Source organism: Homo sapiens, chromosome 14 (genome assembly GCF_000001405.40).
Source record: "Homo sapiens chromosome 14, GRCh38.p14 Primary Assembly".
Classification (NCBI taxonomy): Eukaryota; Metazoa; Chordata; class Mammalia; order Primates; family Hominidae; genus Homo; species Homo sapiens.
Window position 1 is genome coordinate 41,885,557 of NC_000014.9, and position 19,910 is coordinate 41,905,466.

The window sequence follows — 19,910 nt, forward strand, 5'->3', positions numbered from 1 at the left end:
ACATACTGTTAAGTGAAAGCACTGACGGCTGCTTCCCAGAAATTATCTTTAAAAATCCACATTTTTAACCAATAAAATATTTTAATATTTAGGGAACTCGGAGCTATTGTGATAAACATTCAACCTTGTTATTTTTTGAGAATAAGATTTTTGTATTTTCAGTTAAGATGTGAAGATTGGCCGGGCACAGTGGCTCATGCCTGTAATCTCAGCACTTTGGGAGGCTGAAGCGGGCGGATCACCTGAGGTCAGGAGTTCGAAACCAGCCAGCCCAACATGACAAACCCTGTCTCTACTAAAAATACAAAAATTAGCTGGGCGTGGTGTTGGGCGCCTGTAATCCTAGCTACTCAGGGAGGCCAAATGGTCATCAGTAATCGCTTGAACCTGGGAGGTGGAAGTTACGGTGAGCCAAGATCACGCCACTGCACTGCAGCCTGGGCAACAAAGCAAGGCTCGTCTCAAAAAAAAAAAAAAAAAAAAATAGTGAAGGTTGATCTATGTCAAGATAGTTTGTAAAGAAGAAAAAAATTAATCAAGAATTTGTTATCTTCAAAGGTCATGCTGCAAGCTAACAAATATTGTATTTTATTGTTTCTGTTTAGGCTACTGAATTGACCTACTTACAAATCTTCAAATATGCCTCTAATTTTTTAAATATCTTTATGTAACAAGATGTCCTTCAGGGTCTAGGGTATGTTTTCCTGAACCCCCAGGCCTACAATCTCGGCTGTATATCTCTTTTGGTTCACCCATGGAGTACCCTGGACATACTTAAAAAATGGCGCTTAATTTGCAGAGTTATAATAAACTTTTGACTGCTTTGTTTTTCCTACTTGATTTTAAATCCCATGAAACTATCAATGGTATGTTATTCCTCCCTAGTGCCCATTATAGCCTTTACTACAGAATAAATATTAATACTTGTTAAGCAAACAAGTGAAATTATTTCTCTATTCTAGATTGCATACAAATATTATTCTAGTAGGAATATGAATATGAATTAAATCACTGGATGCTAACATTCTATTTTGTGTCTTCCGTTACAGGCTCTTAAACCTGATCTACAATGGAAAAAATTCTTTTTTATCTGTTTCTCATTGGCATAGCAGTGAAAGCTCAGATCTGTCCAAAGCGTTGTGTCTGTCAGATTTTGTCTCCTAATCTTGCAACCCTTTGTGCCAAGAAAGGGCTTTTATTTGTTCCACCAAACATTGACAGAAGAACTGTGGAACTGCGGTTGGCAGACAATTTTGTTACAAATATTAAAAGGAAAGATTTTGCCAATATGACCAGCTTGGTGGACCTGACTCTATCCAGGAATACAATAAGTTTTATTACACCTCATGCTTTCGCTGACCTACGAAATTTGAGGGCTTTGCATTTGAATAGCAACAGATTGACTAAAATTACAAATGATATGTTCAGTGGTCTTTCCAATCTTCATCATTTGATACTGAACAACAATCAGCTGACTTTAATTTCCTCTACAGCGTTTGATGATGTCTTCGCCCTTGAGGAGCTGGATCTGTCCTATAATAATCTAGAAACCATTCCTTGGGATGCTGTTGAGAAGATGGTTAGCTTGCATACCCTTAGTTTGGATCACAATATGATTGATAACATTCCTAAGGGGACCTTCTCCCATTTGCACAAGATGACTCGGTTAGATGTGACATCAAATAAATTGCAGAAGCTACCACCTGACCCTCTCTTTCAGCGAGCTCAGGTACTAGCAACCTCAGGAATCATAAGCCCATCTACTTTTGCATTAAGTTTTGGTGGAAACCCCTTGCATTGCAATTGTGAATTGTTGTGGTTGAGGCGTCTGTCCAGAGAAGATGACTTAGAGACCTGTGCTTCTCCTCCACTTTTAACTGGCCGCTACTTTTGGTCAATTCCTGAAGAAGAGTTTTTGTGTGAGCCTCCTCTCATTACTCGTCATACACATGAGATGAGAGTCCTGGAGGGACAAAGGGCAACACTGAGGTGCAAAGCCAGGGGAGACCCTGAGCCTGCAATTCACTGGATTTCTCCTGAAGGGAAGCTTATTTCAAATGCAACAAGATCTCTGGTGTATGATAACGGAACACTTGACATTCTTATCACAACTGTAAAGGATACAGGTGCTTTTACCTGCATTGCTTCCAATCCTGCTGGGGAAGCAACACAAATAGTGGATCTTCATATAATTAAGCTCCCTCACTTACTAAATAGTACAAACCATATCCATGAGCCTGATCCTGGTTCTTCAGATATCTCAACTTCTACCAAGTCAGGTTCTAATACAAGCAGTAGTAATGGTGATACTAAATTGAGTCAAGATAAAATTGTGGTGGCAGAAGCTACATCATCAACGGCACTACTTAAATTTAATTTTCAAAGAAATATCCCTGGAATACGTATGTTTCAAATCCAGTACAATGGTACTTATGATGACACCCTTGTTTACAGGTAAGAAAAATTGAGCAAATTTGTATACTTACCATGCATCTTAGTGTAGAATTTGTTAATGTACTACTGATTTTTTTTAATTGGCAGTGCTGTTCTGTGTTGTAATTCCATATTTTAAAGTGCATAGTGTAAGCTTTGAAAAAGGTGGTAATACAAGTGGGGAGATATTTTGAATGGTATTTTTTTAGAGAGTTCAATTTATATTTAATATTATGCTTACTTACTTTTTTCCCCCTCATCTAAGAGATGTGACTATCAGAGAACAACACTGATTTATTATAAAAATTCAAAAACATACCAGAACTTACACACACATGAGTGTTCTTTCCTTCAAGGAAGCCACGTTGGGAGGCTATACCATTATCCCAATGATGCTGCCATTGCTCAAAGCACTTTTGGAATTATCTTTAGAACCTTCGTCATACTATTTTGAATATCCTCAGTGGTGGCAAATCTTCGTCTTTTGAGGGTGAATTTGAATTTTGGAAACAAGCAAAAGCCATTTGGAGTCAAGTCTTGTGAATAAGGTGGGTGATCAAGATGGGTATTGCCATTTTTGGTCAAAAATAGGATGTAACTATAAAATAATGAGACTGATTCTTTGAGTGATTAAGGGGTATGTGTGCGTGTGTCTGTGTGGTTGTGTTGTCTCATGTGTACTGGTTCTAAGACAGTTCCAAAAAGAAACCTTATAAATAATTTGAGCAGTGAAAGTATCACTGGAATTAGGTATGTAATATCCAAGTAAGGATGATGATGGAGAATTTGCATCTACTAAACAATTTCTGGTATGTTTTTCTAAAGTTCAGCCTCATTGATTTATAGTCACATCTTATCCAATTTTCAGTTAAAAAGACATATTTTTACCCTTTCATATAATTTCACTTTGTGAGAGGCTTACTATGCCCTAGGAAATGATGCAAAACCATGGCTTTGCATTTTATATATATATATACACATATGTGTGTATGTATATGTGTGTATGTATACACATATATATATGTGTGTGTATATATACACATGTATATATACATGTGTGTATATATATACACACATATAGATATTTCAAAGCCATATATATATATGTCTATATATATATGTCTCTATATATATATATATATTCTGTTTAAGATATTCAGAAATCAGATCAGATCAGTTCCTATGTACCCAGGTGAATTATTCAATATAATTGATTTTCATTCCTGTATGGAAATGAGAGTAATTTTTTTTTAAAGCATGGACTAATAGGCAAAATTAAACCTATCCTATCTAGTCATGTGATCAGCTCAGAGCAGTATTCTATATGGCTGAGTTTCAATTCCTCGTCATTACAAGGGAGAAATTAGACTAAAGGTCTCTAATATCCCTTCATCACTAAATATATGGGGACATGGACTATGATACATCTATATTAACTTAAAGTAATTTGCTCTTGTCATACCAGGCTCTTCACATAACTCATGGACTACTGTCAATGACAAATACCCCTCCCCACCCCACACTTTTTTGTAGCTATTGGATATTCTATATATTTTAAACATTAGCTCTGTGAAATAAGCCAGATTTTATTTTCCAAATTCCAGGATCTTAATCCTGCAATGACAAGTAAAATTCTGTTTAATCTTGAGGAAATTTCTGGAATCCCTGACCCTTTTTGTCATTTGTAAAATAGTGATAATGCCTGTCTCATAAGGTCATTGTAAAGATTAAATTTTAATGTATACAAAATGTTTAGTAATGCCTGTTATTTAATTATAAATTAGGTCATATTCAGTTGCAACTGAAGGAACAGAAGAAAATAGATATCAACAAGGAACTTTTAGAATGTAGTAGATTCAGAGATGTCTATAAACTCTTTATTTATTTATTTTGAGATAAGGTCTTGCTGTGTCTCCCAGGCTTGAGTGAAGTGGCACAATCTCGGCTCACTGCAACCTCTGCCTCCTGGGTTCAAGCAATTCTCCTGTCTCAGCCTGCCCAGTAGCTGGGACTACAGGTGCCCGCCACCACTCCCAGCTAATTTTTATATTTTTATTAGAGACGGTGTTTCACCGTATCGGTCAGGCTGGTCTCAAACTCCTGACCTCAGTTGATCCACCTGCCTTGGCCTCCCAAAGTGCTGGGATTACAGGCATGAGCCACCGCAGTGAAAGTATCACTGGAATTAGGTGATATTAGATTTAGGCACTGTCTAAACTCTTGCACTTTATAAATTGTGCTCTGATGGAAATTTGCGGTAGCATACAACGGGATGAGGGATTTATGCTCTGGTCAATAGCCTTGCCTTGTTCATGTTTCTAGGATAATATTACTTGTATATTTTCATTATCCTCATGTATAGATAAAAACATAACGCAGTCCAAGTGTTGACTGCATTAAAAAAGGATTATATTTGTAAAGAAAATACTTTAATCAGGCCGGGCGCGGTGGCTCACGCCTGTAATCCCAGCACTTTGGGAGGCAGAGGCGGGCGGATCATGAGGTCAGGAGATCGAGACCATCCTGGCTAACACAGTGAAACCCCGCCTCTACTAAAAATACAAAAAATTAGCCGGGCGTGGTGGCGGGCGCCTGTAGTCCCAGCTACTCGGCAGGCTGAGGCAGGAGAATGGCGTGAACCCGGGAGGCGGAGCTTTCATTGAGCCGAGATTGCGCCACTGCACTCCAGCCTGGGCGACAGAGCGAGACTCCGTCTCAAAAAAAAAAAAAAAAACTTTAATCTTAGTAATAATCTTAGTTATTAAGTATATATTTACTGGGTGCCATTTCATTTTTCTGAAATGGAAAATAAATGCTCTAAAATGCGTATCTATTTTGATTTCTAATGTGATTGTCAACATTTTTCCTTCCTTCAAATTTGCTTTTAGTCATAGAGGTATTGTAAGTGCTAAATGGATTTGTTTAGCAGTCAGATAATGTCACAGTCACACCTTTCAAAAGTAATTTGTCATCAATGTTTTTTTAGCAGTGTTTTTTATTAGGAGTTCTCCTTTGCTAAGCAATGTAATTAGTAAGCTTGTGAAGGCTTGGGGTAGGCACGATTAATATAGTGCAGATGCTGACAAGGACTTTTAGCCATTTTAACTCAGTAAATATGAGATTAGATCATTTTTCAATAATTCATATGTTATAAATGTACTTAATGATACTGAAATGACACTGAACTAAAGTCATAATGACTTTCTGTGTATGTGTTTTGTTTTGTTATTAATATTAACACAAATTCCATTGTCCCTCAGAATGATACCTCCTACGAGCAAAACTTTTCTGGTCAATAATCTGGCTGCTGGAACTATGTATGACTTGTGTGTCTTGGCCATATATGATGATGGCATCACTTCCCTCACTGCCACAAGAGTCGTGGGTTGCATCCAGTTTACTACGGAACAGGATTATGTGCGTTGCCATTTCATGCAGTCTCAGTTTTTGGGAGGCACCATGATTATTATTATTGGTGGAATCATTGTAGCATCTGTGCTGGTATTCATCATTATTCTGATGATCCGGTATAAGGTTTGCAACAATAATGGGCAACACAAGGTCACCAAGGTTAGCAATGTTTATTCCCAAACTAACGGGGCTCAAATACAAGGCTGTAGTGTAACGCTGCCCCAGTCCGTGTCCAAACAAGCTGTGGGACACGAAGAGAATGCCCAGTGTTGTAAAGCTACCAGTGACAATGTGATTCAATCTTCAGAAACTTGTTCGAGTCAGGACTCCTCTACCACTACCTCTGCTTTGCCTCCTTCCTGGACTTCAAGCACTTCTGTGTCCCAAAAGCAGAAAAGAAAGACTGGCACAAAGCCAAGTACAGAACCACAGAATGAAGCCGTCACAAATGTTGAATCCCAAAACACTAACAGGAACAACTCAACTGCCTTGCAGTTAGCTAGCCGTCCTCCCGATTCTGTCACAGAGGGGCCCACGTCTAAAAGAGCACATATAAAGCCAAGTAAGTTTATCACTTTGCCTGCTGAGAGATCCGGAGCAAGGCACAAGTACTCCCTCAATGGAGAATTAAAGGAATACTATTGTTATATTAACTCGCCGAACACATGTGGACTGTTTCCTAAAAGAAGCATGTCTATGAATGTGATGTTTATTCAGTCTGACTGTTCTGATGGTCATAGTGGAAAGGCAACTCTCAAATTCTGAGGGACTACTGGAAAGCTCTGTGTAATTTATAATTTCTTTTTCATGAAAAATCATTTTGAGAACTCACATAGAAGATTGGAATTTGCAATTCCAATGCTGTGTATAAATCAACCTTCTCAGGTACAGTATATATATATACACATATATAACTATATATATGTATGTATGTATATGTATACTGGAAGGAAACATAAATAAAATGGATAAGGGAAAAAGCATGACATAGCAGCAGTGCCTTTCCCTATTCTAGGACCAACTCCTAGGACTAGCAACAGCAGATTAAAAAAATGAAAATTGTTGTAGAAAAAAGTATTGCATAAAAAATGATATTTCTCTAATTTTACAAAGGGCCACCTATGGATAATTGATATTTTTAATAAGTAGACTGTATATTTTCTTTCAATGGTAATAGTGTTTCCTTTGTTTTTAGGGAAATGTTGTAGAGAACAACTTCATGTTGCTAAATTATTTAAAATACAATATTCAATTAGTATACCGAGTTAATGTTAAAATTAGTTCACTTCTAAACAACATCCTTGGTGCAGGTGCCTTAATGGTTGTAAGATATTTCTCCTCTATGATACACCTTTTTCAGTGGAAAGAAGAAAGTGCAATTTATTTCGCATTTATGAAAACTCTAATCAGTTTTCAGTCACAGGCTACAAATTCCTATGCATCTACATGGACATATGAAGATGTTTTCATTCATTTAATACACATTTTTTGAATGAATGAGTTTTATGTTGTTCTTAATACAAGATAAAGAGGGAGACAAACATACAAGACTGCCTTTATCAAAGGGGTGTTTATTTTTATCACCAAGTAAAATTTAAAAACTTCTAATGGTGTTCTCATTATATTTATAAGTCATAAAAGTCATTGCTCATTAAGCAGATAGTGGATTTTTTTTTTCCCATTTGCACTATAGTTTTTGCATTTGAATGTTTTCCTTTTAAAGTAAATGCATTTGCTATTTTAACCAAAAACTGTGATAAATCTAACTAGAAATCATGCTGCTTAGTGAGAATACATAATTTTTTAAAACAGGATTTTAAATTTAGTAGAAACTAATGTTGCTCCTGGATAATATGGAATTATTAGAAATTTACTGAAATTAAGGTCTATAGATAAATGTTTCTATTCACTCCTTGAAAAACTTAATTATATAATAATTTGATGGTGTTCTATTAAAGATCTATAAACAGTTACCATCAAAGAGGTTTTATTTTGTTTTGTTTTGAGAATAAGGCTCACCTGAGAACTGACCCATTGCTTTGCACAAAAGAAATGACATTTTAGCCATAATATCATAAGATAGGTACTTTACTATCTTATGTCAAGTACTCTTTGGGAGTAAGTTAAACACACAGTAAAAGTTTATTAACTTTTTCAGATCAGTTGAAATACCACTTAAGACACAAGTGAGGAATGTGGAATCGTTAATTTCCTTCTGGTAGAAGCATATACAACAATTTCAGTTACTGTTAACTTGACAAAGCCACATCTTCTGATACACAATGTATCATGATGCCATTCAATAGTATGTAAGATTAAAGTAGTTAGAGATTACTTTCAGTGCCAGTCTTGAAAATAATTATCCAATGGGCTTTTTTATTTTAGGCGTTTGCTAAATCCCTTCTCTGCCCTGATTCTCTTTCTAAAAAGTTTACTTTTCACATTTGCAAAGTCTAATTATCCTTCACTGCCCAGTTATTTATTTCGTGTAAGGAATAGATGAGGTCACATGTGGTCGTAGTTTGCGAAATCAAAAGCAGCACTCAGAGTGAAATATATTTTCAGTACTATTAATGTAGTAATGCTCTAATTCCAACTAAATATTTTTAATTAACATCAATTGCCTAATTCCTCAATAGGTGTTGATTTGCAGAAGCATACTACTTTTTCTCTTCTTAGATTTATCAGCATAGTATTAAAAATATTGAACATACAAAAGCTTGCAAGACTTAAAGAAATGAATCTTCAAAGACTTTCTGGGATTATGAAGGTTGTGATCAAAGATAAGGATGCTCTGAAATCATGCAACATTAGCAAGGTTAACATATGTACTATAAGTTACTGATGAACTTAGTATTTTCCAGTATTTTTAAAAATCAATTGCCTACTTATGTTTCTAATAAAGTTTGATTAAATATCTTTCATTTCTCATAGACATTTAAAATTCCATATTTAATCATATGAGATTTATTTTGTTTGACTAACACCATTGAAAATAATTTAATGTGATTTAATATATTTTTAATATGATCATTTTTACAATATTTAAACCAAATGCTTGAACACTTGTTCTTAAAAATGATAGAAAGGTGAGTATCTGGCCTGAGATTTTGCCCTTCAAAAAGTCTATATTTTAAGAGATTAACAAAAGACTGGCTTATCAAGAAGGTCAAAATTTTTTTGTATTTGTTTATAAACATATGAAGAAATTTTTGCTTCAAGTAATTGCAGTGTGAAGTGACTGAAAAGTAAGTCTACAGAAAAGGTGGGAATGATATTACCTATCATGATGTCTGAAACATAATTGTTGCTTAGATGAATGAATGAGTAAATGAATAGGTAAATATGGCCATGGAGTAAGGTGTGGAAATAAGAATTTTCATTTGTTAGTACAATACAGATTTGTTATCTAAATATTATATTACCATAAGCAACAAATTCTCTGTCCTTTTCTTGTTTTGCTTTCTGTCATTTATTATTTTATTCCTCATTTAAACAGTCATATATATGTGATCTGAAGCATCTGGTTTGCTGTTTGTTGTTTCTGACTATATGAAGATTATATATACATATATATTATTTTTGCTTCCTCGTTCTTATTTTTCTTTTATTTTTGTCATTTTGCATTATAGTTTCAGCTTGTTCAATGTGAGAACAAACAAAATAATGTGTTTCCTGTTATGCATGTATTAACGATGTTTACTTCAAACTTTTTTTAAAATTGTGTTCCTGCATTATTTTTGTCCCTTTTGAATAATTGTCCCCCAATTGAAAATATAAAATTATTATTACAGTAGTGTCATAAAGGGATAATGAAGCATCTAACGTAGCCCCAAATTTTAAGAAGCAGTATATTTTAGTTTGATGGATATTATTTATGTTAGTCTACAAATATATAAATACATAAAAAGATTAAATACAGCAATTTAAAGTAGACACAGTGGCTGGGCACGGGGGCTCACACTGTAATCCCAGCACTCTGGGGGCCCAAGATGGGCAGATCACTTGAGGTCAGGAGTTAGAGACCAGTCAGGCCAACGTGGTGAAACCCTGTCACTAGTAAAAACACAAAAAAATTAGCTGGGGGCATGGTAGGAATCTGTAGTCCCAGCTACTCAGGAGGCTGAGGTGGGAAAATCGCTTGAGCCTGGGAGGTGGAGGTGGCAGTGAACTGACATCCCACCACTGCACTCCAGCCTGGGTGACAGAGAGAGACTCTGTCTCAAAAGAGAAGAAAAAAAAAGTAAATAAATGAATAAATAAATTAGACACAGTAACACTCAAACTGTGGCCAATTTATTTCCCCTTTTTTTTTTTTCCTAACCATTAAAGGAGTCAGTGGGGGTCTCTGTAAGCTGTTTCATGCTTTAAAACAGTGGGTTTTTACCTGCTTTGTAGATATATTTTACTTAAAATTTTGGAATAGAAGTTTTGAACCATTCTAAGAAATCTCTAAACATAACAAGTCTAATCTTTGAAAGATGCATACTTTCTCCACAAATTTATAAACAATTAAAAAACATAAATGTGATCCATTTGTCTCCAGACATCTTTTTCTTTTAGTTTTGTAATGTATTTTCTCTTCAATTTAAACTACTTGCATCCAATAAATTTTATTATTTTATTTGCTTGTATTTTTGAAAAGAAAATATATCATTTATAAAGCTAAAAACTTTAAAAGTTGCCCTAAAATTTACACTATTTGCCTTTTAGCTCTTAAATTTAAGTTTTTCTCTTTCATTATAGCAATAAATATAAGATTTTTTAAAATTCCAATAGTTTAAAAATCCATAAATATAAAGTATCATCTTTTGGGTAGAATTGTGAAGCAAATTAGACATTTCTTAAGAAGACAGCAAATGCAAGTCATTGTCTTCTCAGCATAGTTGATTTCCAATTGGATTTTATCATGCTAAGAAAACTGTTCATTTACATTAGACAGAATGAAGACTATCTACGATCTTTCCTTGTTCAGCCTTCCCTTGTTTCAAGAACAGTCCAGTGATTAACAATGTATGCTTCTGTGTGAGTGTGAAGTGTTTTGAGGAAAGGACTTCTGCACAGAGGTGGATTGTATGTGAAAAGGATATTTTTCTTATCCTTTTATGTTGCTAATAATAACACTGTACCTTACAATGTTAGTGATATTTAAGTAAATTTATATACAAGAAATATGTCATTTTTGAAATGGCATTCAGAAAAGAATAATCAAAATTAATATTTGAATTTTTACTTTCAAAGGACAGATTGCCCAGTCTTTTTCTTCCCATGCTAGATAAATATACGCTGGGATTATTAATAAAATTAGTTTGTTCACATCTTTATTATTTGTTTATTTATTATTATGTTTTTCCACAGAAACAATCAATTCATGTAGCAGGGTACAGAAGGCCACTTAAAAAGAGTGGTAGGCCGGGCTCAGTGGCTCACACCTGTAATCCCAGCACTTTGGGATGCCAAGGCAGGCAGATCACGAGGTCAGGAGATCGAGACCATCCTGGCCAACGTGGTGAAACCCTATCTCTACTAAAAATACAAAAAATTAGCTGGGTGTGGTGGCGCGCACCTGTAATACCAGCTACTCGGGAGGCTGAGGCAGGAGAATCACTTGAACCCTGGAGTCGGAGGTTGCAGTGAGCCAAGATCGTGCCACTGAACTCCAGCCTGGTGACAGAGTGAGACTCTGTCAAAATAAATAAATAAATAAATAAATAAATAAATAAATAAATAAATATTAAAAAATAGAGTGGTAAGCATATTGTTTTGATTGAGCCATCCTAAAAATGTGGTGTTATCTTGAAGAGGGATATAGAAAGTAACAATTTATAACCAGGAGTATATTTAAGTAGTAAATTACCTCACTAAGGTACTGTTAATGCATTGGGGATTTCATCAAATTACACAAACAGTGAATATAACAAAATAATCACTGATTTCTCTGGTAAGTGTAATGGTACACTTAGAATGATTGTCTTCTGATTATGTTCAGCACTTTCAAAGTCAAAATTTAGGATCTAAAGTTAACATTGAATAAATATATACATCACATACATTTGTATAAATATATATGTGCTCAACAAATATCTGCCTATATATGTATTATATAGACATATAAATATTTATACTCATAACATTAACCAGCTAAAATCATAATTTTGTGTCCTGCAATATAGATTAATTTTAATTACTATGAAAACATAGATTTAAATGGACTGGCTGTCAGAGAACTCCCAGAAAAACTGTAAAAATTATAACTGTTACTTATCAGATAACAATAGAATATAAAGTACAAATTTAATTTTCTGCATTTTTTAATTATAACCATCTCTACAACCTAATTTCATCCATTTCAAACTTGGTGACTGTTATGTTCATGATGTCTGAAAACAAAAACGAAATATTTTCAAATTCATTAAGGAATAAGCCATGACGGCCCTTTCATTTAATGTACTTGTGCTTGGAAGTGGTTGAACATATAACCTTACCTGACACATAGGCTATGTACATATTATGTTTCTGCTCTAGAATATGTCTAATAAATAAATATTTGAGTAAAATCAAGGAGCTTATGAAATATACCGTGTTGGCTATTGGCTCTACCATAATACAATTTTGTATTCTTTTTTTCATCTATAATGTGAACATCTCCTATTATTGATTTTATGTAAAATCTAATCTCCAAAGACCATTGTATATTTACATGAATATTTGTGCTGAAAGTTTTGTAAAAAACAATTTGTCTCAATCTCGTGACACTCACCTGTGAATCCTAAGAAGGACTTATCCTTTACTCCTAGTTTTCTATCATGTGTCACTTCTCAATGATTAAACGTATTTGCTTAAAAGGAAGGCATTTTGGAAAAAAATAGAATGTGTGCTGCACAGGTTTATGTAATGGTATTAAACTTTTATAGGCAATTGGAACCTACATATAAACATTTAAAGGAAGGTTGTTCGTATTTAGAATGTTAGTGTCTTACATAGGGACAAACAGGTACTTGTTAAAATATTAGCTATTATTTGGGGAGTAGGTATTGAATGATGGTTAATATTTTAAGTGATTCTTTTGTACTCCATATGGTGAACATAGTTAAACTATATTTTCTGCTTTGAATTCTTTTTTCCTTGATGTAATTTTGCATATTATTCTGATGAATCTATATAGATGAAATGTCAACTGTGAGTAAGAAAATGAACAGAAACTCGATTATCTTATTGAACTCTGTCACGAATACCAAATGCATATTGAAAATCACTCATTTTAGTTATTAGAATAACATTTTAGAATATTATGTTTTTAAGCATTAGGAATAAGAAAGTAGACATAGAGAACTGAAATATTATAAAAGTCAATTGCAATTAACCCATGAACTGGTAAGTTTTTTAAAAAAAATCTTTAGATAAATCTTTGTTAATTCTTGATATGAAGTATTACCAAGATTTCAGTAAGAGGTTTTTTGAATCTATTTCTTTTAAAAAAATGAATTGTTTATGACACTGAACATTTTATTCCCAGATGCTTTGCTGACTAATGTTGACCAGATTGTCCAGGAAACACAGGTGAGATTCTTATTACCTATAACTTACTTCAACACTTAAATGGGTATACACTTTTTATAAATTAACTTTAAGTAATTAGTTTGCTAATTTATGTAGCTTGTTGAAATTTTCTTTTAAAATTTACTTATAATTCTCAACAGTGAAGATTGAAGTTTAGTTTGATTAAGTGAATTCACAGTTTCTAAATTTAGAGATATTTGGGGTTAACTAAACATCTCTGCTTTGTCCTGTAAGAAATGAAGTTAATAATAGTGATGCATGCAACTTTGGAGTCACTCTTGTAGTCATACATGATACAATGTGCATTTTTACAAATATTTCCAAATGTGAAGACAGTACCTTGATAAGAATGTATTTACTCCTATCCTTGACCTCCACATCCTAATTAGAGCTGAGATGACACATTATGCCTCTTTGAAAACAGATGAACAGAAGTGTTTCACTGTTATCTAAAATGAATGAAGCCTCTTTAAAATGGAGCAAAAGACTACATATGAAATATTCATGGTATTACTTTTGTCAGCAACCAATTATTCTTCTTGAGTGGTTTTTTTAGGGGGGATGTTTGAAATGAGTATTTGATTCTTGAATTTTAATTGGATCAGAGAGTGTGTTTCCAGAGCAGAGAAGCACTTTAGCAATCTGTTCAAACAGCTGGAAGCATCAGCCATTTGCTTGAGGTTTGGCACACACACAAAAATTCTGCTTTTAACAGTTCTAAAAAAGGCCATTGATTTATTTGCTGGTAGTAAAAATAGGGTCTTGGTTTTTAACATTTTATATTTAAAAGAAAAACAACTTTGTCAATCTTTCAGGATCTTCCCTAATGAATTCTATCCACAAATCAAAATGTTTTCATGCATCATTTCTTTACTGAATTTAGAATCCCATTCTTATGTTGCAAAAAACAGCAGATGGCTCATTGGAAATACTGAAACAATCAATAGCACAATGTCTGGCACATGTTTGTGTTCTATTGTATGCAGTGAATTGACCTGCATGAAGGTGTCTTGTTTCTCCATCACCCCTTTTGTTCTCTCTCTCAATTTTAACATTTCTTCTTATTTCTCTTTCCATCTCTCTCTCTCTACCCATCACTCTCTCTCCCTCTTTGCCTCTCCTTCTCTTTCTCTCTTTCATTTTTAAAGTTCATTTATCATGTAACTTTAATAAATCATATCCAGCCAACCTGAAATTTAGGATAGGATACCTTTATATAATAATTAGGAAACAGATGATTAATCTATAAGGAACACAAGCCAAAATGGTACTAAATGTTGTTTCAAAATTTGGAAGCAGGCGAGTAAATGTCTACGTAAGTTTTCAATTACCAATTTAAAGAATTTTTGAAAGATTCACATTTGAAATGGAATATTGTATATTATTTTGCTTATGTATTTATTTTAGTATATTATTATAAATGGAATTTAGACTTTCTTTGGAAGTCTTTGTACTAAGAGATATAGCACAAAATTTTGCAAATGTGATACATATATAAGGCTTTGAATAATAACTTTTTATCTTAAAGTAATTAGTATTACAAAAAATAAGAAAATATCATTAAAAATAAATGACTGTCATATATTATAGAAAACTTCCCTTCATACTTAAGCTACCTTGTTCCTCTTTCTATAAATATTAGCAAGTAAAACAAATCCAAAGACAAATAATAGTTTTAACAAAATTCAGTGGCCATACATCACTCACTTATTAGCCAGCTCCTTGCTACCTTTCTATTATCAGATTTAAGTTACTGTATGACCCCAAGGTAACTATTCTTGATTCTCGGTAAATGATTTGTGCTATAGCAGGCCTATGTCTACCACTGTGAGAAGACCAAACAGTGATGCCCCTACTGAAGACAGTGTGTGACCTGTGTGTTCTTAGCTTTGTCATAGCCTTTCACATTGTCAGTGTGTGAATGAACAGAGGTGGAGAGCGGGCAGAGACCCTTTGTGATTGCAACTCTTCAGCTCCGAGTTTTCCGTAGCCAGTCATACTGAGGTACCTGTTAAGGTGAATTTTTTTCTAAGCATAGAGAGTTAAAACACTTATTTCATTTCCATTATTCAGAATATGCCCCATGCCAATTTTCTTTTTTAGAAGCCTTTAGGAATGTATATAAAAGTTGAGTGGCCTTGAAATATTTTAATATCTAATATATAATACAATTCTTTTATAATATAATCATAAAATTTTAATCACACTAAAATGAATTGAGAGGAAAGGGGAAAGGAATTACGTATAAAATTAATGCTGATAACTCTACGTGGAAATTGACACTTACCTATAAATTTTCCTTGTGTTTGGCCAAGATTTTTATCTTTACAAGGAACACAGTAAAACAATAGTTATGCTGTTCGGCAGTTAAGTAAGAAATAGTTGAGTAGTTTCCATTTATACTGAAAATGCCTTAAATAAAATTTCTTAAGAACTGTTTGCTGTTTTCTGACCAATAAAATATGTATGCATTGTGTGTGTGTGTGTGTGTGTGTGTGTGTGTGTGTAGCTTTGCACAAGAGCTATAGCTTATTCTGTGATTGCTTGCACAGGCCTTTAAGATAATTGCTTCTTGATTTTAATAAATTTAACTTGCGATTAGTCCACATTTAATAACAAGCAAAAGTGTAAACTTTGCAATAAAATCTCTGTTACAGATGAGTACAATTTTTTAGATAATTAATATACAAATTAAAAGCTAATATTGATTATGAATACATAACAACACTGATAAAACTATGGGAAAACACAGGGTTAGGAAAATACATGAAATAAGAGCCAAAGAGAAAAGCAAATTTTATACACATGATGCAAATATGCTTCCAATTTGTTTCCAGGTGAGTGTGATCAATGTAAAATATTTGCTTCTGCAGGAGGAGGTTCCTATGATATTCTTTTCAAGTAAATTTTCTGAAATAAGAGTAATAGAATAAACACATATGTAGGAAACATTTGGCTGTTTTTATAATAATTAAAGCATGTTTTTAACATATATATTTGAACATTATAACAAATTTTAAAAAAGGAGAGCCTTTGGGTCAGCAATGACCTTTAGAAATCATCTCCTTGCTTAGACATCCTAGCTATAAAAGATCAAAATATTTCACAGTTCTTAATTACATTGAGAATAGGGGCAGTAATAAATCTTTTCCCACAATTCATTTAATGTCAGGATTTTTTTTCTTCTCTTAATGTTCAGGGAGCTTGCATTTCTTATTTATCTTTTAGTACTGTTAATAAGACTGTCCACAGATTTTTGCATGATATCCACTCACTCTTAAATGAGGACAATAACCAAAACATCCTAAACCTACTACAACTTGATTATTTTTAGTTTTTGTAACATTTTTACCATATTTAGTCTGTATTATTTGTATTGTTTGATACTCTTGTAATTTTGTGTTTTATGTTTAGGTATTTATGGAATTACTATAGGAGCTATCTATTGATAAGTAAATTAAAAAGTGTCATTTTGGATATTCTATTAAATGCCAGTTTTTATTTGGCTTCATATTATTTAATAATTTTAATATTGCTACATCTTCAGAGCAGACAAACTTCTTAGTTCACAAAATTTTTATTTCCTACTGTTCAAATATAAACCATAATTTTACAGTTTGTTAATATGATTAGTTAATGTGAAACTCTAGTAAATCTTTAAGATATGTCAGCTTACAAAATCATTAACTTGATACTAAATTAAAGTTTGCTATCCTGGAACCATTTATTACTTAAAAACTTAAACTAGTTATTTTGTCCACTGTCATTTTCCTTCTAGGTGTACTGCAACTTTTACTTTTACTACTTTTTGTAACTTGACCTTTGATATAGTATCATAACACCTTTTTTGTGTCAAAGGGAGTATATCACTTGAAATATAAAAAGAGAAAACATGTTGATTTTCAATTTTACCAATATGAGCTCTGCAATGAACCAAATAAAGAAGAATTTAGTAATATATACCATTACATTTTTACAGTGATTTTGCAATGTTTTTCTTAGTATATTCCAGGTAAATTATGATAATAATATCTATATTTCAGTAGCTTTTTAAAAAGTAATTCTTTTTTTACAAATAAGATACACACTGGTCCCTTAACAGTCTTCACATATATGGTGTATTTCTTATTAGCTTTCCAAAATTATTATTTTTGCTAAAATCAATTTCACTATTCAGATTATCAATTATTTTGAAATGTTTTCTTAAATAAAATATCTTTACAGCATTTTACCTAACTTCACATAAAGTTACCAAAAATAACCTTTAATATACTTTAATAACTTTATCACATAAAATTATCTAAAGATATTCTACATCAACATTTTAATATAGAATACTAAATAAATGAATCTCTATTTCATGATTCATTCATGCCATGCATTTTATAATTCCCAAATAAAAAATTGTTAAGATGCAGTTGTTTTTTAATGGAAAAGAGAAAATTACTTGTACTCATGTATATGAAAGCATATATTTCTCAAAAAATTATTTTCCATTTTCATCAAGAATAGACTTCATTAGACATATCTTAAATCCATGAAGACTGAGAACACATATTAGAGGAAAAATATTTTCACAGTTTTATGTTTAAATATTTTTATAAAATGGCTTTTACATTATTTTCTTTCAAAATCATGTTTAATTCAAACATGGAATGCCTGTAAGAGTTATTGTAAGTTTTCCATTTATTTTGTTTTGTGGGTGAAAAACTGATTAGTTAAGGTGAATAATTTACTACCATTAAATGTATTATTAAATATTTGTAAAATTTTAATATCATACACATTTTCTAGCAGAATTTTTAAAATTTGTAAGTAGCATGCTTTAATAACTGCAATTATTATTTGTTTATCTTACCTTGAAATTATATATGTGAAAAACAAAGCAATAGAAAATGCCATTTTACAATGTAGCTTTGACTTTACATAATTATCTAGGCTTCATATACTTAGATTAAAAAAATAAGATACTTTTATATATTCACCAATTGAAGTTACTAAGAAGCATTTTATATGTTTATATGCATGTTTAGATAGTTTTCATGGGTGTGTGCTGTATTTCATGGCAAGCAACTCCTCCTTGGGTGCTTACATTTAGTTACTTTTAGATTGCTAGCACAATGATCTTATTAGCTATGTGTTTTCTTTCTTTCTTCCTTTCTTTCTTTTTTTCCTTTTTCTTTTTCTTTCATTTCAGAGGCTGGAGTTAATCTGAAGAGCACCACTTCTCCTCTCTCTCCTGAAAAAATTTGCCACTGATATTTTTACTGGATAAAATTCAAAAATGTTTCAATTCACAAAGGCTAATTGTTGAACTGGTGTCGTAGAAGAAATTGTCTACAGGAGCCAAGGTGAAAGTCTCTGATGACGGCGGAACTGGCTCCATTAGACCATGGTTCATCCTCTTTTAAAACCAAATTTTTTTTTCTTCTGGCCTACAAGTATTTTTTTTTTAAAAAAGAAAAAAAGCCTACATTGGCATCAAGTTCTGTATCAATCCATCTTACATTGCCATCCATGATTTAACAGACTGTAGAATCTTGAATAATCTATATCACTTTAACAAATAAATGTTTTACTATGACAGAATTTGCACATTGCCTGATTTGTGAAAGTACCCATTGCTTCAAGTGTGAGTGGTGAAATAATTATTGCAAGAACAAATACTACTCTTTTACATGTAGGCCGTGCAAAAACCTTAAGAGATTACAAGCGGCTTTATAATATTGGAAATATTTCTTCCATGATTCAGTGCACCCAGTTCTTTGGGAGAGCAGTACAGCTATTTAAGCAAGTTTATACTAATTTTATGCCTCAGTATAGGATAGAAAGTGATAAAGGCTCTCTTCTCCTAGTAAAACTTCCAAAATGATCAAGATAGGAATATTATAATGAATCCAAATTGATTCATTGCTTTTCTAGGGAGCCGGGGCAAAAGAGGTTTTAATAATTACAAGCCTTAAGTGCACATTTCTCCAATTTTGCACAAGTTCAGAGTAAGAACAAAGAATATGCATCTGCTTTACTACCAGCATACGTAGAACTGAGTTAATTTTGAGGGCTAATACAGGAGAATGCAGTCATATTTAAGCAATATCCAAGCTAAGCATTTAAGAGCTGCCCCTGGTGTGAAGCAGGCCTCAGCTGTGTGAGTTTGGCCAGTTATGCACAGCAATCTTCCATGTTGTCATAGAAAAGATATTAGTGTAAAATTTGAAAACACGTACATTTATCAGAATACATGGCAAAAGCAATAAGTTCAATAAAAATATTCATAAGAGCATTGTTACTCCCAACTGAATTCAGACTCTCTCAGATATTATAGATTATATCTCTATTCCTTGGTAATTCTGATAGTTATCATTGAGACCAATATGTAGTTTTTTTTTTTAATTCAAGTCAAATAAGCTAGAAAACTCTTTGCCTTTTAAGAAATTCAGGTTAATCTGTTAATTATTCCACATTTGGACTATTAAAAATATCCAGTCATCCAAGGAGAGGTTTCA

At 32.8% G+C, this 19,910-nt stretch overlaps 1 protein-coding gene across 8 annotated transcripts in view; it reads left to right on the plus strand.

Annotated features, from left to right (window-relative positions):
- The window catches only part of LRFN5 (leucine rich repeat and fibronectin type III domain containing 5), a 297,674-nt gene extending 278,681 nt beyond the window's left edge, over positions 1-18,993 (plus strand). For 3 of the 8 annotated variants that reach the window (NM_152447.5, NM_001346173.2, XM_047431029.1), the window contains 4 exons: positions 1,050-2,454; positions 5,694-6,406; positions 13,361-13,404; positions 18,602-18,993. In NM_152447.5, the coding sequence (NP_689660.2) occupies positions 1,070-2,454; positions 5,694-6,406; positions 13,361-13,404; positions 18,602-18,619 (2,160 nt within the window). In that variant the 5' untranslated portion in view covers positions 1,050-1,069 and the 3' untranslated portion in view covers positions 18,620-18,993. Of the gene's footprint in view, positions 1-1,049; positions 2,455-2,789; positions 2,982-5,693; positions 6,730-13,360; positions 13,405-18,601 lie in introns of all 8 variants that reach the window. The other 5 variants (NR_144388.2, XR_007063991.1, NM_001330106.2 and 2 more) reach the window with 3 other exon arrangements.